The sequence below is a fragment of the Homo sapiens genome, chromosome 11 (assembly GCF_000001405.40).
Source record: "Homo sapiens chromosome 11, GRCh38.p14 Primary Assembly".
Taxonomy (NCBI): domain Eukaryota; kingdom Metazoa; phylum Chordata; class Mammalia; order Primates; family Hominidae; genus Homo; species Homo sapiens.
In genome coordinates, this window is record NC_000011.10 from 2,781,011 (window position 1) to 2,807,840 (window position 26,830).

Genomic DNA, 26,830 nt, shown 5'->3' on the forward strand with positions numbered 1-26,830 from the left:
GAAACCCACCCACACCCGCAGATCCAGGGGCCTCCTCACAGCGAGTCTACTTCCTGCGGGCCTCCCTCCCCTGTCAAATGAGAGGGTTTGACTCCTGCTTGTGTCCTTAGGGTCAAAAGTCACAAAAGCTGCCTCATGCCCTTTCTGTTTTCATCTTAGATTATTGTCTTCTTTATCCTGGAGAGGACTCTTATTTGCTCAAATGCCCACATAAATCCTCTTTTACAGATGGGGAAACCGAGGCTCAGAGAGGCTGAGTGGTCGCCTGAGGTCACACAGCTAGTTAGGTGAAGAGCTGGTCCCAAGGAGGACACAGACAGGGGTGGGAGATGAGGTAGAGAGAGCAAGGAGGGGTTTCATATCACCCAAAGTCCGTATGGAGAGGCTGAGGAGGGTTGAGGCCAGGGGCAGGCTGGGGGCACCAGCAGCAGGGCCCAGGGCCTTCAGTGTGGGCCAGGGACCAATGCAGGCGGTCGGGAGAGGTCCGGAGAGAGCTGGCCCTGCCCACTCCCCCTCTGGCCCCACTGGGCTTCCTGAAGTCCCACACAGGGCTGGCAGTCTGTGTGGGGGCTGCATACCCCAGACATTCTGAGGAATCGATGGCAGAGGCCGCTCCAGCCCTCCTCCCCCAGCAAGTATTCTTAGCTTGGTCTCCAGGACCTGCCACACTGTTTACGTTGGGCCCTGTTTATTTTGCAAGCTAAGCTCATACTGCTTTTGCTGATATGAGGAGCACAGTGGGCTGGGAGAGTTTCTTTCTTCTCTGTTTTTGCCGGAAATGTTCATGGCTGAGAGCCGGACACAGGGGAGTCCTGGGTTTCCATGCCGCAGTTCAGAAAGCGTTGGGCGGGAAGGGGCCCCCACCACCTGACACTCCTTTCACTGCCTCCGGTCGCAGAATCCAGGCCTCCAGGATGAGAATGCCCCCCAACCCAGGACTCCCAAAACCACACCCTGCCCATGCCTTTACCAAGCTTCGTGCATGACCCCAACCTCCAGGATGCAGGCAGGCCCAGCCTCCCAGAATTGGGTGTTTGCCCCCAGACACTGCTACCCTTTCCCTCATTCCAGTGTGACTCCTCCATCAACCAGGCCACAAGCTGGACCCCAAGGCTTTTTTGTCTTGGGCAGTTCCCCGAGCTGCACCCCCAGAGCCGCCGTGCTGCTGTTCATCCTCTCCCTTTAGCCCAACCCCTGCTGAGTTCAGGCCTTTATCATCTCTTACTTGGATTATTTTTCCAGCCATATATGCGGTCTCCGGCCTCTCCTCACACCCACCAATCCTTCACATTGTATATTATTTCTTAAACACTGCTGAAATCTCACTTACTAATATTTAATATATCAGAATTTTTGTGCCAGTATTTATGTGTGAGATACATACATGACATAATTTTCCTGTCTTGTATGGTCTTCATCAGGCTTTGGTGTCAAATGTATGTGAGCCTCACAGACTAACTTAAGAAGTGTTCCCTCTTTTCCTATATTGGGATATTTTGTATAAGATTAGAATTTTATTTTCCTCAAATGTTTGGTGGAATTTAAAGGTAAAGACATCTAGGCCTGGTGTTTTCTTTGTGGGAAGATTCATCATTCCTGATTCAATCGCTCTAATAATTATGGACTGTTCAGGTTTTCTATTTCTTCTTGTATCAGTTTTGATAAGTTATATATTCTAGGAATTTATACATTTCATTTTAGTTTCCATGTTCATTGGCATTTATTATAATTTTAATGTCCGTCCATTAGCATTTAGTCCCATTTTTTATTCTCAATATTATTTATTTGTGCCTTCACTGTTTTCCCCCTTAGTGGTCAAACTTGACACTATTCCCCTGTCTTATTAAATGTTTCGTGGACTTCTGGCTTTGCTGATCCTCTCTATTGTGATTTTGTTTTGTTTCATTCACTTCTGTTTATTTTATTCCTTCTATTTACTTGGCCTTAATATACTGTTCTTTCTCTAACCTCTCTAAATTAAGAAGAGGATAATTCTTAATTTTCAGGCTTCCTAAATTTCCTTTTCGTTTTAATTTTTCTAACCACTGTCAATCTCATGGCTTTCTAAATTTTTAAGGTATGCATTTAAGGTTATAAATTTTTCCTTTAAATATCATCCAAACTACATCTCCCACATTTTGATATATGGCATTTAATTTTAATCTTCATTCACTTTAGTATTTTTCTAATCTCCATTATGATCTCTTGTTTATCCTAGGAGTTCTGTAGCAATGTGGTTTTTGTCATTGTTATAATTGTAGCACAGCTTTCTCATAATGTTGCCCTCTTGTCAGAGAAAGCAATCCATATGATATTAATCCTTTAGAATGTTTTGAAATATGATTTACGGCAAAAATGTGGTCAATTTTTGTAAATGTGCCTTCTGTACTTGAAAACAAGGTATATTCTGACATTGTTGGGTGCAGTGTTATGTTCATATCCACTGGAACAAGCTTGTTAGTTGGTCTGTTCAAATCTTCTATATTCTCATTGGAATGTTTTTATCTGCTTGATCTATTATTACTGAGAAGGCATAGGGCAAATTTCTGTTTAACTTTCTAAGAAACTTCTAAACTGTTTCCAAAGGATTTATACCATTTTGCTTTCTCACCAGTAAAGTATAAAGGTTCCACTTTCTCCACAGCCTTGCAAATACATGGTCTTTTCTATTTTAGCCCTTTTAGTGAGTATGTAATGGTATCTCATTGTGGTTTTGATTTGCATTTCCCTAATGACTAATGATGTTGAGCCACTTTTCATGTGCTTATTAGCCATTCATAGTCTTCTTTGGTGAAATGTTTATTCAACTCTCTTGCCCATTTTCTAATTAAGTAGTCTGTTCTATTATTGAGTTGCAAGGGTTTTTTATATGTTCTGGATACAAGTCCTTTATCAGATCTATGACTTGCAAATATTTTCTCCCATTCTGTGGCTGTCTTTTCATTTCCTTAATCACATCTTTTAAATCACAAAAGTTTTTAATTTTAATGAAGTCCAATTTGTCTTTTCTTATATGGCTCAGGCTTTTGATGTTTTATCTAAGAACTCTGCCTAATCCAAAGCCATAAACATTTTCTCCTGTTTTGTTTTGGGTTTTTTTCCTTCTAGAAGTTGTATAGAATTAGCTCTTACATTTCGGTCTATATTTACTTTGAGGTAATTTTGGGGTATGATATGAAGTAAAGTCTAGATTTGTTTTGTTTTATTCTTACTTATGGATATCCAATTGCCCCAGAACATTTGTTGAAAATACCCCATTTCCTCCTTTGAATTATCATGGCTTCTTGGTCAAAAATCAATTGACCATAAATTTATAGGTTTATTTCTGGATTTTCAATTCTATTATGTTGGTCTATATGCCTTTCTGTAAGTCTATATGCCTTTCTGTAAACCCATACTATACTGTCTTGATTATTGTAGGTTTACAGTAAGTTTTAAAATTAAATTATGTAAGTTTTCTAATTTTGTTCATCTTTTTACAAATTGTTTCTGTCTATTCTAAGTCCTATGAATTTCCATATAAATTTTAGGTTCAACCTGTCAATTAAAAAAGAAGGGCCTGCTGGGATTTTGATAGGCATTGTGTTGAATCTATAGATCCATTTGGGGAAAATTGACAACTTAACAAAATTGAGTATTGTAATCAATGAACATGGTATATCCCTCCATTTATTTGATCTACTTTAATTTCTTTCAGTGATATTTTGCAGTTTGGGGCATATAAATTTGGTACTTCTTTTGTTACATTTACTCCTAAATATTTTATTTGTCATGCTAGTGTTAATGGAATTGTTTTCTTAATTTCATTTTGAATTAATTGTTCATTACTAGTATATAGAAGTAACATTAAATTTTTATATCAATCTTGTAAACTGACTTTTCTATTCTTGGCTTTAGCCATTTTTGTTGTTGCTATTGATTTCTTAAGATTTTCTACATATAGGATCATGTCTTGTGGCAATAAAGACAATTTTTACTTCTTTCCAGTCAGATGCCTTTAATTTCTTTGTTTTGCCTAATTGCACTGGCTTGAACTTCAAAAAAAATATTGACTAGAAGTGCTAGAGCAGATCTTCTGGGGAAAATCATTCAATCAATTTCCATTAGCTCTGAGTTTTCCATAGATGCCTTTTATCATGTTGAGAATATTTCCTTCTATTTTTAGTGTGTTGAGAGCTCTCATTATGAATGGATATTGGATTTTGTCAAATGCTCTTTCTGTGTCTAGTGAGATGGTCCTGTGGTTTTTATTCCTTATTCTACTGATTTGGTATAATACATTAATTTTCAGGTGTTAAACCAATCTCACATTTCTGGAATATATCCTACCTGGGCATGATATATAATCCTTTTTATATGATGCTGGATTTGGTTTGCTAATATTTTGTTAAGAATGTTTGTGTCTTCAACCTAGGAAAGCTGATTGAAAGAAAAAAAAAAGAATGTACTTTATATTCATAAAGGATACTGGTGTGGTTTTCTTTTCTGACTTTGATGTCAGATTTTTAAATCCTTTTCTTTTTAATCCTACAACCGTAGGATTTCAGGTTTGTCTTTTGTAAACACTGTATTACTGAGTTTTTAAAAAATCATTTAATACATTTATATTTAATACATTTATATTTAATATAATTTCTAATAGATTTGGATTGAATTCTAGCAGTGTATTTTGTGCTTTCCACTTGTACTAAATCTGTAATATTTATTTTTCTCCTCTTTCTTGCCTCTCATTAGATTATTACTTCTCATTCTACTTTTCTCTCTACTGGTTTTGAAGTTATGTATTCTACTACCATCCTTGGAAAGGTTAACCTAGAACATTTTAAATGAATATATATCAGAAGTAATTGCTATATCTACCCATATCTGTAATAAAATAGGGATCCTAGAACACTTTAACTTCAATTATTCTCCCCCTGACTTAGTACTTTGCTGTTGTATATTTTAGTTGAACTGTGTTTAATTTTTAACTCACTAATTGGTAGTGTTTTATACAATCAATATTTGTTTAAATTTACTCACCCATTTGCCTCTTTGTCATTTGTTATTTCTTTTTTATCTCAGATCTTACATCTGGGATTACCTTTTTATGTGACTGAGGGATTCATTTAAATTTTCTTCAGTGAAAAACTCTCAGATTTTGTCCGCAAATGACCATTTTACTGTCATGTTAAAAAATATTTCCACCAATTATAAAATTATAGGCCTTAGGTTATCAAAATTCTTTTTTCTTAGCACATTAAAAATGTTATTGAACTATCCTTTGGCTTCCACTGTTACCGTTGAGAATGAAGATGATGAATTGTTGCTCCTTGGAAGACAATCTGTCTTTTTTCTCTGGCTGCCTTTAAGATCTTTCCTTTGACTCTAGTCTGCATTTTCACTAGGATATGTTAATAGGTTTCTTTTTTTCTGCCTGAGCTACCTTACTCAGTGGTTTGGTGTCTTTCATCAGTTCTAGATTATTCTCAGTTAATACTTCGTAAGATTTCACTTCAGTCTCATTATCTCCTTCTGAAATTTTTATTGGCCAGTAGTAGACCACCTCACTCCCCTTCATATCTCTTAACCTTTTTTTTTTTTAAATCACTTTGTCTCTCTGTACTGTATTCTGGAATCCATCTTCCAGTTCACTAGTTGTTTCTTTGACTGTGTTTAATCTGCTGTTAAAACTGTTCAGTGAATTTTAAACTTCAATTATTATTATTTTATTTATAAAAGTTCTGTTGGGTTCTTATTCATATCTGATAAGTCATTTTAATCGTATCTTCCTCTTTACTTGCCTGTTCAAACTTTAAAATTTTCTTGAAGTGTATTAAATATGGCTATTCTATATTGAGCTTCTCTTAATTCCAGTATCTAAAGTATTTCTGAGTTCACCTCCCTGTTTGATTTTTTCTTCTGCTGACTCTCATTCATGGTGTTTCATTTCGTTTCTGTTTTTTTTTTTTTTTTCATTGTAAACTTATATATCTTAAAATTTATCTGTGGGAATTTTTGAAGTCTGGTGTGAAGTTGGGGTCCTCAGGGAGGAATCATGTTTACCCCTTCCATTGCCACATATGTGGGTGTACTGCCAGCCTGGACTTTTAATTCTAGGCTCAAAGTTTTCTAGGCCACTTAGGTAGTATGAATTCAAGCCTCCAAGCTGAGCATGGACTAACTTGTGAACATGACTTTCCAGGACAGAACTTGTTCTCCTTCTCTTAGCAGTAATGCAGTTTTCTTTACAATCTTCTCAGGGAGTAGGAGATTTTTCATTGGCCCTCACAATGAAAGCAGAGCCCTTTGAGGGTCCCAGCTTTGTGTAAGTCTCTGCTATGAGACTTCCTGGGGCAGGCCTGGGCTTTGACACATAATCATCTATTCCTGGTGAAACCAAAGCTCAAGTTCATCTCACTCATCAAATACCTTCAGGGCCCCTATTACCTCTGGGGTTCCACTTTCACTGAGTTTTCAGCCTCTAACCTCCCTTACTTCCTGGTCAGCTCATCCATGCTAGCCACAGATATCATTTTAAATTTTCTAATAGCCACTTTTTTAATTTAAAAGAAATAAGTAAAATTGATTACAATAATATATTTTATTTAACCCAATAGATCCAAAATATCATTTCAATATATAATTAATATTTTTAAAACTCTTAAAATTGTTGACATTCTTCTTTTTCATACTGGGTCTTCAAAAGCCACTGCATATTTTACACATTTCAATTTAGACACCGAGTTTTCATGAGAACGACTTGGTCTGTATTTAGATTTCATAAAATTTACCATTGAAAAAGGAGATTCCCATGCCTAAGTCATTTCAAACATACTGAAGGGTTTTCTAATAACCGAATGAAGGATCTATCTTTAAATTTTAATTTTAATTTATTAAAATGAAAATTCCATTCCTGGATCTCAGTCACCACTTTTTTAAGTGCTGTGCCACACAGATTCAGCTATGGGACAGCGCTGCTTTGGACGGGCATGGCCGTGCGCGCGTGTGGGGAGGTGAGTGTGGCTCCCCCAACGTTTACCCAGGCCAGCCCCAAGGAAATGCTCAGTGAGTGCCCATAGAATGTGGTGAATGTGGATGGCAGGGACCATACGGGAGAGCACACTCCAGTAGTTGCCATCTCATGGCCCCAGCGCCCCTCTCCACCCCATGCCCCCAACAGAGATGCATCCCTGCAGACCCCTCCTGGGCTCCTTCTCCACAGCATCCTCCCCAAGTTCCCCTGCCTCGAGTCCCCAGAGCTCATGACCCACGCCTCCCCGAGGTCCCTAAGGAATGTCCGCTTGGGATTCTGGTTCTTTTCCGGTTCTCTGCAGCCAGGTCTGTTCCCTGGCGTAGCTTCGCAACTGGAAGGTGCTGCTCAGCAGACTGTGAGAAGTGTGTGTCGGTGCAGGCAGGACACACTTCCAGGCTGTCCCAGAGGCCAGGGAGCACCTTGCCACTGAAGGGCTGGTTGCATCAGAAAGTTAGGCAGCCTGGACTGCCCTGGCAGCCCCAGACCTGCCTCTCCTCGGCAGCTCCCCCTCCCCTCTGCACCACCCCCCGCCCCCCACACCCAACCCAACACTCCTCTCTCTGCTGCTGGGCTGCTCTTGAGTGACAGGGCCGTAAATAGGCAAAGGCGGGGGCTCTGACTGATCAAAGGGCTCCCTTTAGAAGCCGTCATTAGTTTGCTATTCTGGGAACTGGTTATTTTAAGGTTAGTGTATTTTTTCTTTCCTGAGGAGCCGTCTTAGTGGATGGCGGAGTCCGGAGGGGCTGCCCTTCAGTCAAACCACACAAGCCCTGTTTTGTCTGGGGTTCCAAAGATAAACCTATAATGAAAGCAGCGTTTGACGCTGAGCACCGCCACCCTGTTCCTGCACAGGGGTGGGTGTGTCTGCCAGGGAGTCCCTGTGCCCAGCAAGCTCCGGGGAGGCTTGCAGGAGGCCCCTGGGGCCAGGTTGAGTCTGCTCCCAGGGAGCCTGAGGTGGGAGGTCTTCAGACCTGGCATTCTCACAGCCATCATGGCTTGCCTGGCCAGGGACCGAGGCCCCGTACCCTCCCCCAACTTCAGGCTACCCCCAAAGGCCACCCCTGGAACCAGGCTCAGCAGGCACCTCTGAACCGCAGCCCAGCTCTGCCCAGCACCTTCTTTGGAAAGACAGTGGACCCACCAGTGGCCAGGGGAATGCACACCCCTAAAGTCAAAATGTAAGGAAATGATGATACCCTGTGCTGGCATGGGTGCGGAAGAGCAGACGCTCTTCTGTCTTACTAGGAGGTGGGAATTAATGAAAGTAACAACTCCTGGAAGGGACTCTAGCACTGCCTGTGAAAACTAGAAACCCGTCATCACTCCTAGGAAAGAAAAGCACCAGGGTCGGGCTTTGCATGCAAGCTTTGTCATGTGACAAGCTCAAAGCCATCTGTTTGTCCATAGAGAAGCGTGGTATATACTGAGACACCTCGACGCCGCAGCCCCAGTGCCCGCCACAGACGAGCTTTTGCCGGCAGTCATTGCTCGGGAGGGATATTATTGATGTGTTGCTCAGTAAGAAACCAAAGTTGCCAAGGAACGTGATCGCATCTCTGTGCAGCCACAGCACCCAGGACGCAGCTGGGAAGGGAGGCCAGGGGACAGCTGCGCTCCGGGATGCTGGGGCCGTCGGCCTCCCCCTTCCCAGGCCCAGCTCCTGGGCACTGGGACCACCGTGGGCTTGGCTCTGAGATCCACCATGAGTTCTCGCTTTGTCCAAGATTGAGATGCGCCAGGTAGTTGGTGTGCTCATTTCGAGGTGTTTCTTTTTCCCCCCAGTAAAGTGATGTCACGTGGAGGTGAGTGTGATGGGAAAGGGAACCTCAGAAACAAGGTCCCACCTTGGTCCTCTGGTCTCCCCTGGGAGGACCACCCCCAATCCTAACATCCTGTGAGGTCCTCCCCACTCAGAGGCTCCTCTCTGTGCCACCCATCCTCGGATAGGTTGCCATGAGGTTGCCAGAGGCTGGCAAAGGGCACTTGTCAGCTGCAGATTCCAGCCCTGCCCTGGGACTTGGAGGGGATCATATCCCTTTGACCACCAGGTCATGACCCCCAGATCATATCCCAATGACCCTCTGCCATACCATGAGCCCAAATGACCCTCAACCTGCCACAGAGACAGCCCCCACTAACTGCCACTGGGTGATGGGACCGTGGAGAGTGCCCAGCTCAGAGGAGAAGCCTGTCTGATGTGGCTCCCGTCCTCCTCTGCTGGGGTTGTCTACACTGTCCCCACTCGGTGACACCAGGAGCTGGCATTGCCTCTGGTTCTACTGCTCTGGACAGCCCTGGCAGCAGTGCCCTAGCCTGGCCCAGCACCTACTGAGACAGCCGGGCCAAGCCCCATCCTGCAGGTGCAGTCTCACTTTGTCACTCTTGGTTACCCATGGGACCCTGAACCCCATAGGAGGGGCTCATCACTCAGGGTCCTCATCCAGGTGTGGCCCATCCACACCCAGCATCCAGCTGTGCACACAGGGCCACACACAGACCCCTTTCCCATCCCCCCTTCCCATCCCACACAGGGCAAAAGCCTGACCTCCTCTCACGCCTTTGGAGCCAGTGGCTGGGGTGCAAGCTCTGCCCCCTACACGCGATGGCTGTGAGACTCGGCGAGTCACGTGGGCTCTCAGCGCCTCAGCCTCCTGGCCCCCAGTGGAGGGGACAGGCACCATTATGCCGATCGCTCGCGTGCAAAGGCCCTGTGGCGTGGGCAGTGTCACAAGCTCCTGGCCCAGGAGGCCTGCTTGGCTGATGGCAGAGCTCAGAGGGTGTGAGCATGAGGATGGCATCAGGGGTCTCTCTGCAAGTTCAAGTTCCGCCTCAACCCTACTACGTGGCCCTGGCCAGGCCTCCTGAATCCAGGTCTTGCTTTCCCCAGCTATCCAGCGGCTTCCTGCTTCTCTTACCCTCAGCAATCCCCCAAGAACTGTTCTTTTCCCCACACTAGCGTCTCTCTTTCTTGGGGTGTTTCTCTCTTAGCCTGCCTGTGGGGGACAGTTGCCACCCTCAAGCCTCTCCTGAATGACTCTATTTATAGGCCTCCAATATTGGCCAGAGAGGAAATTTAAGTCTTTTTAAAAATTCAGCTCAAGTGTGTGTCAACTTCTGTGAGTGCAACTGCTTCAGAGAGAGGCTGGGATAGGACAGCAGGCGGCAGGGGCGTGTCAGGTGCCCGAGCAGGACGGTGGCCGGAGCCCGCAGCGGCCGAGCCCTCACTGGGCACCGTGTGCGGATCTATAATCGACAGCATCAATTGCGGGAGTCCGGCTGGGCTGGCCGCCTGCAGGGGCCAGGGCGTGAGGGCGGTGCGGAGCCTTGTCTGTGCGGCAAACCCTGCCTGGCTGCCCTGGCCAACCTCAGAAAAACATGTATTTTGGTCAAAATGGGCCCCTTTTCAAACTTGTCACCCCGTGGGTCAGGGCACAGCCTGCCCCCAGCCGGTTCTGCATATTAAGCAGTGGCTTGGTCACCATCAAAAATAGATGTCCCGACCCGAGCCTCCCCTCCCTCCCGGGGAGGGGACCTGGCCGTGCCGGCTGGGCTGGGAAACCGCGGGCGGGGAAGGAAGGACGGGGCGAACCGGCGGCACAGGCCCAGCACGTCCCGGGCCCTCCCCGTCAGGTGTGGACCCCGAGGTTGTGCGGGGGCTTGGCGGCAGCTGCGGGTGGGGGTGGGGGGCCCGGGCCTCCCGGGCTCGGGTTCTGGCCCCAGGTCAGAGGTGGCGCTGGCGGCAGGTGGATGCCCAGGTCCTCGCCGCGCCGCTCCGGGCGGTGGGACCGGCTTCCTGCCCTGGCTCCGAGCCCGCAGGTGGGGGCTTCCGCCTCACTTTGGACGGTGGCGTCCACAAAATGGCTGACGCGGCGCACGGCCGTCCCTGCACGGAGCCGGTGTTTACTTTGCCGCGCGAACAGCCTTTCGTTGCCCGGGTTCCGAGTGCTCCAGAGGCAGATGGAAATTTTTGTGGATTAAACACGGGGCCGAGGCGCGCTGGGCTGTTTGGGTTGGCAACCTGAGCCCTCCCCACCCCGTTCCGCGTCCGCTGCTTCCCGCCCTGGTCCGGCGCTTCCATTCATGCCTTCCCGGGTCCCTCCGCCACCCCTGCAGGCCCGGCGTCCCCTCCCGCACTCCCGCGGCCTCCAGGGGGTGGCCCTGCAGGCCCAGAGCAGCGTGGGCCTGAACCCCTCTCCACGTGTGGAAGACGCTGCAGCAATAGGAAGGGGCTGCTCCTTTGAGGGCCCTTCTCAAACCTGGAGCCCCTCTGGCCGCCAGATCTTTGTCTGTGAAACAGCAGCCAGTGTGTGGACCAGGCAGGAGTGGATGGGGTGTGTGCCCACAAGTCCAGCACCCAGAAAACCCCCAGCACACGGTCCCTTTTACAGTGGCCTCTGCTCTCAGGAAGGTGGAAAGCGCCAGGTGGATAGGAGGGACGGGGCCGTGACCCCTCCCTCTGCCCAAGAGAAACTCTCTCCCTCAGGTCAGACCCAGGCCTTTCAAGAAGAGGTTGCAGGGTGTGCGGGCTGCCAGGAAAAGGTCTGTGCGGGTGAGGGAGCGCATCCTATGGATATCTAGAGGAAGAGCGTTCTGGGCGGAGGGCACAGCGGTTGTGGGGTGCGGGCTGAGGCAGTGCCTGGACCACCTTGGCAACAGCAGGAGGCACTGGCCAGAGCCACGGACAAGGGGGAGCCTGGGGGCGCAGACCACCCTGTGAGGCCTCAATTAGAGGAGATGGGGGCTTGGGGCCCCGGAGGGCTGAGATCCAGCTCATGGCTTTGGCAGCATTGTTCTTGCACGTTCAGGATTAGCCGAGTAAGGTGAGCCTGACAGCGGGGCCAGCACGCAGCCCCCTGCCCCTCGCCCCCTCCCTGCCCCCAGTCCCCCACATAGGTGTCAAAGTGCACAGCACCCCCTCTCTTCCCCGCCCCCCGGGAGCCGCAGGTCAGGCACACAAGAGCCATCTGTGTGGGCGGCAAGGTGGCTGCCTGTCTGCTGCCCGCAAAGGGATGCTTGTCCAGCAGGGTGAACACCCCGTCAGGGCAGGAGCTGCTGAGGAGATGCTGATGCCTGGGTGACTCATGCTACCTGGCCACCCATCCTCGCTGGGCTACAAATGGGTTCAGCCTCATGGGCATCAGGCAGGGCCCGCCTGGGTGCACCCGACAAACACAAGGGCTCTTGTTCTAAGGCTCTGTGATAGCCCCTCTTACTGAGAGGGACCATATCCAATAACGGGTGGAAATTGCACTAGCAGGGTCATGTGAGGGCTCCGAGCTTTCTCCAGAACCCAGGAATATCCTCAAAACTGAGGCTGGGCACAGTGGCTCACACCTGTAATCCCAGCTCTTTAGGAGGCCAAGACGGGGGGATGGCTTGAGGCCAGGAGTTCACGACCACCCTGGGCAACATAGCGAGACCCTGTCTCTATGAAAATAAAAATAAAAAATTAGCCAAGCGTGATGGTGTGTGCCTGTGGTCCCGGCTGCTCAGCAGGCTGAGTTAGAAGAATCGCTTGAGCCCAGGAGTTCAAGGCTGCAGTGAGCCATGATCACACCACTGCACTCTAGCCTGGGCAACACAGTGAGATCCTATCTCTAAAAATAAAAGTAAGAAGTATTTTTTTTTTAACTGAGGCCCTTCTGGAGGGATGGAGGGACCAGAAGTCACAAGGAGCAGAAAGGAAAAAAGCAAAGGAATCCTTCTGAAGCACTGTGGGCATTTATTCATTCACCTTGTGCCACTGCCTGGGGCTGCAGTGTGAGTAGGGTGGGCTGGCCCCTGCTCCTTAGAATGTACAGCCCCATGGCTGGGCAGGGGGACGCACATAGTGACCCGTAATTACATATCTGTCTGTGTGAAGGAGAAAGTACTCGGTTTTCCCAGTCAGTGGAGTCAGGAGCCCAGAGCCAACCAGGAGTGAGTGAGGAGGAGGAGGGTGACACAGGGTGGAAGAGTGTCCAGTGTGTGCAGCCTTGCAAAGGCCCTAGGGCACGAGGGCACATCCTCCTGAGGCCATGAGAGCAGGTGAGGCAGAGCTGGTGAGCGAGGGATGGCCCGGCCGGGCCAAGGATCCAGGGGTGGCTCCGGCTTCGTGGGAGGAGGGTTACAGGCAGGTGAGGATGCAGTTCCAGGAGTGGTGAGGGGCTGCTGTGGGATGAGGGAGAGCATCAGCACTTTGGACTAGGGTGGAGGCCTTGGGGCCAGCCCCCAGTCTGCCAGCCCCACCGATGAGAACAAGCAGACTGAGGGGAGAAAGGTTGGAGAAGGACCCCGAGCTTCTGCTGTGAGCCCCCACGTGGGGATGCTTTGCTCGGAGGGGTGCTGAGGTAGGAGGGTCAGGAGGGTCTGGAGCTGTATTTGGACTTGGCAGGCAACCAAAACCCCAGTGCTTAGAGATCAAGTGGAAAAGAAAAGAGGAAGAAGATGGGGGAGTGAGAGAGATGGGAAGGCAGTGAGGGAAGCCTTGGGGAGGCCGTGGTCAGGGGCGGCACAGGGGAGAAGCAGGCTCATGTGACTCAGCCCTGAGCCCAGCCGGGCCCCCAAAGATGCTGGACCTTAAAGACACAAAGATGTGATGCATGTGTGTTCACAGATTAGCGGGGAGCAGATGCCGCATGGAGGGGCGTCAGGGAGTACACCGCCTTCCCAGGTGAGGGTGTCCTGGAGGAGGCACAAGTTCTGCTGGGCTGGACTGGACCCAGCAAGAGAGCCTGAGCCTGGAGGACCCCTCTGGCCCCCATCTCCCACTTTCAGCTTCAGCTCTGAAGCCACCACCCAGAACCACATACCTGTTCTTCCCAAGTTTGCTCTCCCTAGCGGAGGGAAAGACGGGAGGTCCACAGATTACCTTGTCTCTTGAAAGCAAGATGCCACCAGTGGGGACCAATGTACAGAGACCAGGCCCAGCCTAGAGTGGGTATAGCTCATCACACCCCCAGAAGCTGTGCGGGGAGGAAGGCAAGCAGGCAGCACAGTCAAGACCTGAGTTTGATGACTCAGAGGGTCCTCTGCCTGTGGTTGGCGGGGGTCCAAGGGGTCTTCCCATCTAACTCGCCACCTCCTCCCACGTCCCACTCAGCTCCACCCCACAGCAGCCAAGAAGCCAGGGCATCACTTGACCTTCCGCTGCGTCAGTCTCCGCATCTCGCCTCCCCTACCCCCGACCTCTCGGGTGCTGTAGGGATGAGGTAGGAGTGGTGGCTATGAACTGGAGGCCTTCGCCTCGGGCTGGAGCTCAGAGCAGTCCCTGCTGCTGCCAGACCTGCAGTTGGGGCACTGCACCCATGTCTGGGGAGGCCACGGACAGGGCCCCAGGGTCTCAGGTGACCTGTCTTGTGTATCCCACTTCGTTTCTCTCTTTCCCTAAAGGTGAAGTTCTGGAGCAAAAAGAGCCTGAGCTGTGAGCCGAGGGGCTCCTCCTCCTCCAAACTGACACCCAGTCACAGAGCAATTGCTAAAGACACAGTCATGCTTGGGCCCAGAGTGGGCCCCACGGAGCTTCCCCCAACCCAGCCTGGCTTGAGCAGGCCCCTGATCTAAACCACCCTACCCCACACCCACTGGGGCTCACCTGGGGTTTGGCCAGCATCCCTAGAAATCAGAAGCCCGCCCCTAATTCTGCCAGCTTCTGGCTTTCCGTTGCCATGGTGACACCCAGCCCCCAGCTACAGATCCCGCCAACTCTTCCCTGCCATTTTGCAAGAAACAATATTTTTCTGCTCCACAAACTTGGCGGGACCCTGCCTTTCCCCGGGTCCATGAGGAACCCCACGGGTTCCTTGCCCTGGAGTCTCTCCAGCTCTCATCCCCTGAGTGCCTCCACAAGCAGGGGTCCCATGGGGCGGGGGCCGGGGGAACAGGGGGTAAGTGTGGCCAACCCCTTGCACAGGGCTTGGAGATGGAGGCCCCTCCCCAGGTGAGACCGGCCTTTGGCCCCCTGCCCCACTCACACAGGGACACCCTTTGTGTTTTTCCACATCTGAGAGCCACCGACATTTCTTAGATGACGTTTTCTTGAACCCACCGTGCTTGGTGCCCGTTAAGTACTTCTACTGCAGCAGCCTAGAACCGACACGTGTGAAACCATTGGCTTATGGCGCAATGCACTTCCTCCCGGCATGCATGAAAACATAAATGTAAATACCAAAATACACAGGGACTATTCGGACACCACCTGAAATCATTCCATGTCCCACCAGAAGCCAGCACGGCCCCTGGCCCCCTGCCAGGTGACGCTGCCCCATGGCAGCCACAGTGCTGATGAAGCTCTGTTTGAGATCACCGCCTGGCTAAGGCCAAGGCGGCCACGTCAGTTCTCACGGCTCCTCCCAAACTGAGGAGCATGGAGGACCCTGGGCATTGATGGCAGGGTGGCAGGAAGCACCCATCGCTTTCCTCTCCCGGATCTTCCCAGCACCCTTCCACCTTCAGCCTTTATACCCCGAGACCAGGCGAGGCCTCCCACTGCCGACCCAGGCCTATCATGGGGCCTGAGAAGTAGTCCTCATTTCCTCACTCTCACACCCCGACACACCCTCTCCATGGGGAAGGAAAACGTGCCCCGAAGGGGCCTGTGTCCAGGTTCCTGCCCACTCAGCCCCTCGGGGCCGTGTCTCCCTGCGTCAGAGCTGGGCCTGAAGATAATGGGCCCACTGAGGTGCAGGCGGTGGACAGACCCAGGAAGACCTCGTGGGTTTCCCAGGAAGACAGAGACTGGGAGCCATTCTTCCCGGCGGCAGCGGCTCTCGGCCTGTCCTTGTCCCCACACAAGCCCCCACTGCTGCGCCGTCCCTCCTGCGCCACCTGACAGATGTGGCGGTGAGAAAACGATGGGGCAGGGAAACGTTCGCCATTCGGTGCCAATAAAGGCCGCCTTTATCCCGACCGTAAATGGTTTCTGTGTGGAGTGAGACTGTGCCTGTCCCGGGCCTAACCCCCCAAGGGCCAGAGAGGCGAAATTAGATCCGTGGGGAGAGATTTTACAACGTATGGGCTGGTGGCAAGTGGCGGCAAACCGTCCCCACGGGGCCACAACGGGGCATTGTTCACGGCCTCACCTGGGCTGTCTCCAGCACCCCAGGATTTACGAGGACTCGGCCCAGAGCCTCGATGCCGGCCGCTCCGGGCAGACCTGGGGGGGTGGCGGGGGGGAGGCCCTGTGAAGAGGAGGACAGTGCTGGGGGCTGGGCCACGGAGAGGCCGGGCAGCGCTGGCCCCAGCCCCCAGCTCCCAGCTCCCCAGAGACAGCCAGCCAGGAACGGGCCCCAACCTGCCTGCAGACCAAGCGGTCACATCGCGAATGAGTCCTCATGCTGTGCGTCCCCCACTGGGCAGCCAGAGGTGTGCCTGACGGGGCCAGGAGGCTGAAGACAACCTTTCCTTGGGCTCTCAGCGATGCCAGCTCCAGCTGCTGTGTCATCAAGGTCGGGCTGGGCTGGCCTCTTCCTAGCAGACCTTCCAAAACCCCGCAGACTCCCGTGGCTGTACCAGCCCTGCACCTCCTGGCCACCTGCCCCTGCGTACCCACCACCCTTGCTCCGGAGCTCGAGGGCCCTTTCCCCACTAGCATCTGACCGCCTTCTTGTATGTCTTGAAGGTTCTTTGCCTTCTCTGTGCAGCAGGGCCCTTTACAGTGTAGTCTGGCCCCTCCTCCTCCCCCGGGCCCCGTACTTCCTCCATTCTGCCCCTTCTCAGGTGTGCGGGACCTTTTTACAGCCCCCTGCTTGTGCCTGCACTCCCTCCCCTGGGAGCCTGCCTCACCCTGACCACATGGCCTTCGGCACCCAGCTTGAGTGTCCCATCCTGTGAAGCCAGCCGGTTCCCCCAGGCACAGGGGATACCTCTTCCCTTTGGGCACCTGCCCTGCGTACTGTGCCAGCCTCCAGGTTGGCCCAGGCAGCCCAGGCTGCTCAGGGTCATGGCCAACCCAGGGCACCGCGGTGGGCAGATGCAGCCCCTTTCCAGGCCAAGTTCAGCCCTCTCACCCTCACAGGGGACCCAATTGCACAGCCATCCACAGCGGCCTTGGGACAATACTGAGTCTTGAGTTAGGGGTGTCTCTCCTCAACCCTGAGAGCAGCCCCTTTTCCCACCCTCAGTGCCCCCACTTGTGGCCCAGGCCCAAGCAAGCCTGCATGGTGCAAACCCACATGGCAGCCCAGGGCCCAGGAATGGCTGTCCAAGAGGAAGGGGCTGGACCGTCCACGCCCTGGGTTCCCAACCACCCTTCCCCTCCTGGTCACCTTTCGGCTTGGCATCAGGAGGGCTTGAAGAAGACTCCTCAGCCCCACCTGCAGACCTAGCTAGTTGCCAACCACCTGGGGTTGTGCCCAGTCCTCAGAACTCACCTGCCCATGGTCATCTGAGCCGTTCCCACAAAAGCCTTCCTTGGGATCCTCAGCCGTCTGGGGGGCCTCCTTACTGGGGTCACCTCAAAAACAGCTGTAGAGGGGTTTGCGGCAGCAGCAGCAGACGTTTTTAAACTAATTCATTGGTGATGGCAAAATTATGCCGAGTTCCCTGAAAAAAAAAAAAAATACCCACTCTATTTCCTCATTAACATAATTGCAAACAGAACGAATTTTCTTGATTTCGTGTAAACAACAGCTTGAAATAGTTTATAATCCTTGCAGGTATCAAATTAAGTTCTTACTTATGGTCTGGAAATTAATTACCCTTGCAGCGAGACAAATGTGAAAACTGTGTATTTTTGACAAGAAAATGAAGCAGCTATTGGGGAAAATGTAACTTAATCGTAGCAGAGAAAATTGTTTATAAATTGGTCGCGTTGTTTGAACTCTCGCCTCTGTGGCTCAGGGCTGGGTTGATCTATGCATGTACATTTGCCTAATTTGGGACAGGGGAAGGGGCTGGAGGAGCAGGAACAGGACGGGGGAAGGAGAGGAAGAAGAGGAAGGAGAGCAGAGGGTACCCGCGTGAAGGGTACCCACGAGGAAGGGGACATTAGACAAGAATGCAGGTGGTCAGGCGGCACTTACCTGGCAGGTGAAATCTAAACAGGCACCTTCAAAGGAGGACAAAGCAGCTCCCTTGGGTAACTAGGAAGAGGACACCAGCTGGCGAGGGGCAAAGCAAAGGACCTGGGACAGGCACGTGCCTGGAACAGAAAGGGAGCCAGTGTGTCTGCATCAAAGTGAGTGAGAGAGCAGCGCAGGAGAGAAACTCTCAGAGGCAGGCAGGGGCCGGACCACGGGGGCGGTGGTGCTCAGATTCCATGTGGCTGTCCATCCATGGTGGGCCAGGAGGTCACTGTTGTGGTGACAACCAGCGCTCTTTGGAATGGACTGAAGTGGAATGTGATGTTTAACTTCTGTAGCTGTAAGTTCGAGTGTGTGTGTGTGTGTGTGTGTGTGTGGTGTGGTGTGTAGCATGCTTGCATGCCTGGACACAGTGTGTGTTGGCATGTGTGGTGTGGTGTGTTTGTATGTGAGGGCAGTGTGTGTGTTTTGTTGTATGTGGTGTGTCTTCTACGTGTGAGTGTGGTGTGTGTTGTGTCTGCATGTATCGTGTGTGTGGTGTTTGTGTGTGTGAGTGTGGTGTGTATATGTTGTATCCAAGACAGCCAAAGGGAAGTTCCAAGGGGCTCGTGCACTCGGTGTCCAGGGAGCAGCATCTGTGCTGTCTGCAGGTAGTCACCGTTCTCCATCCTGTTACAGCAAATACCCTCCTCTGCATTTTTCCCTTGTGTTTGATTTGCCAGGAGCAGAATTTCTGGGTTGGAATCGGGAACATTTAGAGGAGCTTCTCAGTAGAGTTGTACAGAGTGGAAATGAGTCGGCAGGCTGCATGGGGGGTTCCAGTCACAGCACAGAGGGTGTGTGTTTTCGGTGCCTGCCCTCCTGAGCTCCAAGTGTCCCACGCCTGCCCGTCAGTCCTCATGTCTACCTGGGCGACCCCATTTTGAAGATGCAGAACTGAGGTCCGGAGAGGCCTGGGTAGCTGCCTAAGGGTGGGGTAGAAGCATGGTGCCGGCTCAGCCACCCTCAGGTCTCCAGGCTCCCAGCCAAGGGCTCCGATAAGGCTGCTGGGACCTGGGGGCTGTGAGCAGATGCAGACGTCCACAGTTCCCAGGGCTCTGACCCTGCCCTGTCTCCAGAGCCCACAGCCCCACCCAAAAGGCCAGGAGGTCACAGATCTGGGATCCTTTCCCGCCACCTTCAAGAAGGGAATAAAGCCACTTCCTGCTCCATCCCAGTGGCCTGAGGGTGTGGGAGGGACAGAGGCCTCCCCCAGCAGGGTAACCCTGCAAAGAGGGGGCTGACAGCCGTTCCTGCTTCCTACTGGGCAGAGGCTATAGAGGAGGTTTCCAGCGCCTCAGTGCAGGCAGCTGAGCCCAGACCCCTGGGCTGTCCTTGGAACCACTCCCAGCCCCTGCCAGCTTTGTAGCCTCTTTCTTCCCCACCCCACTTGCCTCACCTCGGCCCAAACCTGGGTACTCCCAGCTGCAGCCCTCCCCACTTTGCCTGCTCTGAGGCTGTGTAGGGCCCAGGGAGTGGGGGAAGGGGCCTGGGTCCCGCACAGGATTGAGGTGGCGTTTACAGAACCGGGGGCCAGAGCAGCTGTGGCCGTGAAGGTTCCAAGCTTGAAGTGGAAAGGGTTTTGATGCCAAGGTCCAACGCCCAGCTTATCATTGTGTAAATCTGGGCACCACACATAGCCTCTCTGTGACTCAGTTTCTTCAACCCTAAAATGGGGACATGCTTGCGGGGGTTCAGGAGATCCCCATTGAGCACGGAGAAGAGCAGGTGCTGTCCACTCAGTGACCATCTGCCGTCACCATTCCCCAAGTTATGGGAGAATTCAGCTATGGTAAGAGCAGAGAACAGGATGGCGCTGGGGCAGGAGGAGAAGGTGTGGCTGGCAGGCACTCATGAGGACAGGGTCTCAGAGCCCATTCTAGAGAATGTTCCAGAAGGCATGGGGAGGCAGGAGACCAGGTGTGCCCAGGGTGGGGACACTGGTAATGGGAGGTGCCAGAGCTGGTGACAGAAGCAATGGAGGTGGGTGCAGGGCTGGGGCAGGGCCAGGCAGTGGCTCCTGGGGTGCTGGTGGCCCAGACAGACTAGAGATGGTGGAAGGGTAGAGTGCAGTCAGGTTTGGAGTGGGTCCACTCTTTGCACAGACCAGCCCCCTAGAGGCTCCCCAGTTCCAACAGGATACTGGGCTCCATGGCTGTCACGTGGAGCTGTCTGTAGGTGGACTGGCTTCTGACCCACTCGGGGTGCCGGACCCTGCCCTGTGCCTGTAGGGGCGGGCACTCACCTGCCCTTGCAGTCCCCTCTAGCTCTCCAGCTTCCTGCTGGCCAGTCGTATCAGCTGGCTCAGCAGCAAAGGCTTCAGACCAGGGGACTTAGGTGAGAGAAATTTATTCCTCACAGTTCTGGAGGCTGGAAGTCCGAGAGCAAGGTTGTGGAAGGGTCGGCTCCTGGTGAGGGCCCTCTTCCTGGCTCATAGGCTGGGCCCTTCCTCTGTGCTTACACATCCCTGGTGCTGCCGCCTTCTCTTGCAAAGACGTGAGTCCTATGGGACCAAGGCCCTGCCTTCACAGTCTCCTTTAATATTTATCACCTCCTAAAGGCCTCGTCTCCAAACACAGTCACATTGGGGATTAGGGCTTCAACATGTGAATTTAGGAGGGCACAGTTCAGTTCATAACACAAGTCCTCCGTCGGGCCACTGGAGCCTGGGGAGATGCCCCCACTGCATGCTGAAGGGCAGGAAGTGAGGGAGGGGAGAGCTTGTTGCGGGGGTGTCCTTGCCTCTCAGGGCCACGCCCACTGCCTGCGCCAGGGAAGACCAGCAGTGACAGGGATGGTGTCCCCGCAGCCCCTGGGTTAACACTGCCTCCTCCCTTGCTCTTCTTGGCAGCACAGACCTCAGAAGGCTGGAGCCCCGGGCAGGCCCAAGCACAGAAAAAGCCAGAGCAGGGTCTGGGGTCTTTGCCTCCAGTAGGGTGTTGGGGGAGCTTTGTATTCTCTGTGGCTGGAGGCGATTTCGCCAGCTGCGGAGCGGGGCGCGGTGGGCACATTCACCCAGACTCACACCGGCCCAGGACGTGCTGAGGGTGTTGGGGCCCATCCACCCTCCACTCCGCTTTTCCAGGGGTCAGGCAGGGGGAGGCCACAGGGTGCCCAGCTTCAGCCACACCCGCCTTCTGACAATGCGAAGCCCACCTGGTCTGTGAGCTGTCGCCTCTGTCCTCACAGTGACAGAGCTGGCTTTGAGGGCAGCAGGACAGGGGTTTAGCCCTGGCTCCGGCCCTGTCGCCAGCCGGCAGCACTGGGGCCACCAGCACAGCCTCCCAGCCCTCACCAGTATTAACTGTCATCCCAAGGGGGCCACTGAGGCAGCGGGGAGCCTGCCCTGGAATGTGCCATCCTCGGGCGCAGGCAGCCCTTCATGGGCCTGCCCAATGTCTATTAATTAAGCCCCCTGGAGACTCCAGGAGCTGGGGGCCTTGGCTCAGTGCCCTCTCATAAAGTTCTGCTCTCTGGGGACCGTGGCTCTGGCAGCCACCCTGCCTCTCAGGAGCCAGCCTAGTGCCTCCTGGGTCCCCAGGGTATAGGGCCAGACCCCAAGGCTTAGTGGCAAGAGGCCCAGCAGATGCTCATTCTCCCGGTCAAACCCCTAGATGACACTCACTGGGGAACAGAGGGGCTGGGTCCAGGAAGGAGGCGTTTGCAGGGCGGGGTTGTCTCCTGAAGACTGCGAGCTAGAGGGGAGAAGCCACTGCATGCTCCCAGCCCTTCACCTCACAGTCCCGGAATGGGGAAGCTGAGTGGCCACCCACCCTTGGACGTTCCCTGAGCATTTCCCCACTCAGAGTCCAGAAGCCCCCAGCCCCAGCAGACCCTACAGCGCTACCTGCAAAGGCCAGACCGGCCAGCCAGGGAGGTGGGCTAGACAGTGCCCTGGCCACCACAGGGCAACCCCTCAGCTCCACTTCGCCACCCAGAGGAGCTGGCCCTGGCCACTCTCTCAGAGCAGGAGGTGACATGAAGGGAAGGTGGCAGGATGGGAGTGCCCATCAGCCGGAAGGCCACGGGAGTCAATGGTGAGGGGCAGAGTGAGCAAGGGGCTCAGGGTAGCCCAGAAAACCCAGCCGGGCCCCCCCCCCCACGGGCACCCAGGAACCGCCCTGGCTTTGCTGGAGGACCTGCCATGGCTTTGCCAGAAGACCCTGGGACTGTCTGGAGCATCCTCCCAAGGACTCGCCCCTAGTCAGGAAAAAATAGGGCCCCGGAGTCAGCAAGGGCTTCCTGGGGGCCCAGGTCAGCCTGGACGGTGGCAGGACTCGGCGAGGTGGGGATGGGGCTTGGAGGATGTGGCAGAGTTCCCATGGTGTGTGTAGAATGATATTCCCTCCAGACCACGGTGCCTTCTGGGCTCTGGAGAATGCACCTGTGTTCCCAGGAGCTTTAGGGGTACCCAGGTGGTGTGATGGGGAGCAGGAGCCAGTTGTTCCCAAACCTCGCCCTTTCTCCCTGCAGGCACTGGCAGAGCTGGGGGTGATGGGGCTTCAGTGGAGCCCGCCAGGACTGGGGACACAAGCCTAGGCCTGTACCGTCTGCAGCCCCATCTCCAGGTCCCGGCCTGCCCCAGCCTGCCCACCCCCAGCCTGTCCCCCAAATGCCCAGGGCTGTGGCCTGCCCAGACTTGCCAGGGAGCTCCTGTGCCCTTCTTTCTCCTGGCCTCTCAGAAGCACTCCCTGATCCTCTCCCCACTTCCCTCCTCCCCTCTCATCCCCACCTCGGGCCCACCAGCTCCCACCCTGCTATGCCCATGGACCCCAGGGTCAGCTTTTATGCACACTCAGGTACTCAGGACACCCCACACCAGCCATTGGATGGGGCCGCCTCTGCCACCTGCTCCAGCCACCTGGCAGATCCCACTCGGCTCACACAGAGCCTTGGCCAGCATGTGGCCGCAGCCCCAACTGCAGCGGAAGGTATCGGGGAGTCGAAGGCAGAGGGGAAAGGACGGGATGGCGGGTGAACCACACGGGGAGGAGCCTGGAGCTCCTTCTGCATTTTCTTAGGAAGTGCTGCAGGGACCCACTGGATTCTCTACAGCGCCCAGTAGCCCATTAGAAGATACAGAGGCAGCAATATTCACAGGGCCAGAAACAACTGCAGTTCACCCATGCTGTGCACCAGCTCCCACACCACCCATGCCACGTGCCTGCTCTCCACCGAGCCCTGCAAATGCCTCGGCACATCAGCAAGCACAGGCCTCCTGCAACGTCATTTTGCAGAAGGGAAACTGAGGCACAAAATACTCCACTGCCACCAAGTCACCCAACTCAGTGGTAGAGCTGAGATCTGAATGCAGGCCGCCTGGTCAAGCCCATCTGTGAACTAGAACCCCGCCGCCCTGGGCAGAAACAAGGCTGTATTGACGGTGCTGGGAGAGATGAGGGGAGGGAGGGATGGAGGCCGGAACAGAGCCGGCTGCTCCCCTCAGAGGGCTGGGTGTCACCCCAGTTTTGTCTGTGGGTTTGTGGAGAGCATCACTGAAATTTCTAACTTGACAGAGTGGTTCCAGGGCTCATATAGAAGCATAAAGAGGTGAAAATAGCTGATATTTCTAAAGGCAAAAGCTAACGAGTGGGGTTGCACTGCCCAGCGTGAAGCTGCAGCCACCATTCTCCACACTCTCCTGGCCCTTGGCACAGGATGAGCCTTGCAGACGGAGGCGACACCAAGGCCTTCCCCTGCGCCCACACCCAGCGTCTGGAGCTGCTGGAAATATGTGTCCCCACCATGAAACTGATGCTGCTGTTCATCCCATTTTGTGTATGAGGAGACTGAGGCACGGGCCCACAGTTGCCAGCTGGGATTTGTCCCAGGCCACCTGGCTCAGGTCACCGGAACATGTGACAACACATGTGGTCAGGGAGAGGCAGCACCACAGTCAGATACAATGCTGACAGGGACGGCAGAGTTCCACAGGCAATGAGGCCCCCGGGGTAAAAATGAAGCAGTTTGAAAACAAAACCAGGAAGAGTGTCTGGCCATCCCGGGCCTGAGTTTCTGCCCATGGGCAGCTGCCGGACAAGCCCTCTGGTGTGTCAGCGGGTCAGGCTGAGCCAGACGTGGAGATGAGGCTGAGAGCCGGAAGCAAGGGCTTTGTCTCTAGAAGACGCAGGGGTGGTTCACAGGCCGCTGGGGACCCAGGTCACAGAGCCTTTCCCCCAGCTCCAGCCTGGCTGGGGAGAGCAAAGGCTGCAGCTGCACAGGGCCCCTCCCTGCCTGCCCAAAGCTGCTACCAGACAGCAAGCTGGGGAGAAAACTGCAGCCGACGACGGAGAGGGACGACATTTTGCAAGTGAAAACTCAAATCTATGAGAAAAGCACTCGCCCCGCAGTAGGAAAGCAGGCAAAGAACTAGAAAGACAATTTACAAAAGGATCTGAAGGTCCTCACTGCACTCATCCTGTAAGGTGGACTTGGGGCCTCATCTGGCCCCGCTGCCTGTTTTTGTAAATAAAGTTTTAATAGCACATAGCCACGCCCACCGGTGGACACATCGTCCCTGGCTAACCTTACACCACCTTGGCAGAGTTGAGTCGTTGTAACAGAGATCGTGTGACCAACGAAGCCAGAACGATTTACTCTCTGGCCCTTTAGAGAAAAGCGTGCTAGCCCTTGCTCTAAGAGTTTCAGTGAAGAGACGCAAGATGCAGAAATGAACCTAATTGTGTGGTCTTCCGTGCTGGGGAAGCCGAGGAGAAATGGAAGTATGAGCCGGTTCCCTGCTCCAGAAATCGCTCTGATGACACGTATCACGGGGATTAAAAAACATTCCTCCCCCCTTGACCTCATAATCCTCCTTCCAGGATTCTCTCCCTAAAGAACAAATCAGAGTTATGCACAAACAAGCTAATCACAGCCTTATTTATAATAGTGAGAAATTGGAAACAGACCGCATGTGCAGCATTTGCGGGATGTTGGTTCTTGTTATGCACATTAGGGACAATTATGCAGCTTTCAGTCATCCCTCAGTGACCCAGGAAAATGCCCCATGTACAAGGTTACTGGAGACAAACATGGTCCCAGTTTCTGGGGTGGGAGGTGGTGCCCAAAACATCACCTTACAGAAAATGCCCGGAAACGTGTCTCTGGAGGGTGGACTTAGAGATATGTTTTTGAAACAGATTTTTTCATATTTTTCAAAATTTCTCCCGTAAGTGGTTCTTACCTCCATAACAGAAAAAGAGTAAACAATCAATGTGGAGTGAGGAAGAAGAGAGGGGAGGGAGAGAGGAAGGGAGGGAGGTACGCAGGGAGGCAGCAAGGGGACTTCCCTGCTGAGGACGCTAGCCCCTCCGTAATTTGTCTGTCCTTCCCAGCCTGCCTGGGGCCACATGGGCCACTGTGCCCAGTGAAGCCTGGCTTCCTTGTCTGTGGTGCCAGCCATGTGGGAGGGTAGGCGACCCGCCTTGGGCTGTGTAACGCAGGCTTGCCTCTTCCTTACCCCGGTTGTGCCAGTGGCTAGGCACCAGGTAACCTGTCTGTGCTCCCCACCGAGCAGCTGGGCCGTGTCTGCTTTCCGAGGAGGCTGCAGGTAACCCTTCTCTAACCTGCTCAGCCCCCAGCTCCATCTTCCACCTGTCCTGGGGGATCCCCATTCATTCTCTCCGTGGGCATCATCAGAGGCTCAGCTGTACCAGACCACTGCCCGGGAGTACGTTCGGGCTCAGGTTTCCCTTGAGGGTGGCCCCCACCTGACCCCTCCCCGCCCCTCTCTTGTGCCCTGAGAGAATAGCGTGCCCCCAGAGACAGTAAAAGCCTGGCTTGCGTGCTGGCTCCGGTGACACACAAAGGCCTCTGCTTCTCCACTCTCAGGCCAGCCCGAGAGGGACGGCACCACCGGGACAGCACCAGCGGGGGCATGGGGAGGGGTGACAGGTTGGGCGGGGTCCCTGGGGCTGGGGCGTAGCCCCTCTCTGCAGGCCCCACAGTCTGTGACCGTGCAGGGAGGGTGCTGGGAGTCTCGGCTCTTTCGGAAGGCGCCAGTGTTTCCTTGTCACAGAATGAAGTAAATGGGACGATGAAGGGGCAGTGTTTAAATGGCTGCTTTAGCCCGTTTGGAAGTCTGCTAATTATTCTCTTGAGGAAAGAAATGCAGGTTCATTATTATAATGAGCTTTGGGCAAAATATTTCATCGAGCCTGACAAGCCGCAGCGACGCCTCGAACGTGGCCGGCTCTGAAAGGCCTCCTATTCTGCTGGAAGCTAATTGGCCCGGGGTCTTCCCAGCCCTGTGCTGTTTGTGTGCTATTTTAATTCGCTTATGAAAAGCCCCCGCTTTGATGTCCGGGACCAGATAAGGCCGGGAGGGGACCCTCCATGGAGAGCGGGACTGTGCCGCCCGCGGTCGCTGCACTGGGCCTCCTCGCCCCCCCACTCCGGGCCCGGGGCCAGCGCGATGTCATGAGGTAACTGAACAAACAGTCCTGCTGAAAAATATGCTTTTGTTTCACTAATAAATCCCTCCTCGGAACACTCCCGGGCCGGGCCCTCCTCGGGCCCAGCCTACCAGGCCTTCCCGCCCAGTGCCTCCGCAACCCGCGCCAGGACAGCCGGCGGTGGGCACAGGCGGGCGAGGGGCACCCCCACCCCCTCCAGGGCCCCCCTTCCCTCAGCCTCCTCCCCACCCACCCGAGCTGCCTGCCTTTCCCGCACTCTCCTCCCTGACTTCCTCCCACCTACCGGCCTCTTCCGACCTCTCTCTGCCTCTTTCCCCCATCACGATACTCCAGTGGCCACCTTCCCTGCCCACCATGCCTCC

The 26,830-nt window shown here is 53.4% G+C and overlaps 1 protein-coding gene and 1 long non-coding RNA gene across 7 annotated transcripts in view, besides 3 other annotated features; one reads left to right on the forward strand and one right to left on the reverse strand.

The window, feature by feature from the left end:
- The window catches only part of KCNQ1 (potassium voltage-gated channel subfamily Q member 1), a 404,098-nt gene that overhangs the window by 336,003 nt on the left and 41,265 nt on the right, over positions 1–26,830 (forward strand). The gene's annotated exons all lie outside the window — the stretch shown is intronic.
- On the reverse strand, positions 13,085–19,114 carry LOC124902614 (uncharacterized). Its single transcript, XR_007062554.1, has 3 exons — positions 18,016–19,114; positions 17,365–17,536; positions 13,085–13,165 (listed from the first exon to the last, which is right to left on the reverse strand). It is a non-coding gene; the product is annotated as an uncharacterized LOC124902614 (long non-coding RNA).
- Positions 15,789–16,290: an enhancer, noted in NCBI's record as "H3K4me1 hESC enhancer chr11:2818029-2818530 (GRCh37/hg19 assembly coordinates)". NCBI's record gives its function as "activates a minimal SCP1, AML or CMV promoter by ChIP-STARR-seq in primed H9 embryonic stem cells {active_cell/tissue: H9 hESC(primed)}" and the evidence as "EXISTENCE:reporter gene assay evidence [ECO:0000049][PMID:30033119]".
- Positions 18,792–19,729: an enhancer, noted in NCBI's record as "H3K4me1 hESC enhancer chr11:2821032-2821969 (GRCh37/hg19 assembly coordinates)". NCBI's record gives its function as "activates a minimal SCP1, AML or CMV promoter by ChIP-STARR-seq in naive H9 embryonic stem cells {active_cell/tissue: H9 hESC(naive)}" and the evidence as "EXISTENCE:reporter gene assay evidence [ECO:0000049][PMID:30033119]".
- Positions 24,029–24,528: an enhancer, noted in NCBI's record as "H3K4me1 hESC enhancer chr11:2826269-2826768 (GRCh37/hg19 assembly coordinates)". NCBI's record gives its function as "activates a minimal SCP1, AML or CMV promoter by ChIP-STARR-seq in primed H9 embryonic stem cells {active_cell/tissue: H9 hESC(primed)}" and the evidence as "EXISTENCE:reporter gene assay evidence [ECO:0000049][PMID:30033119]".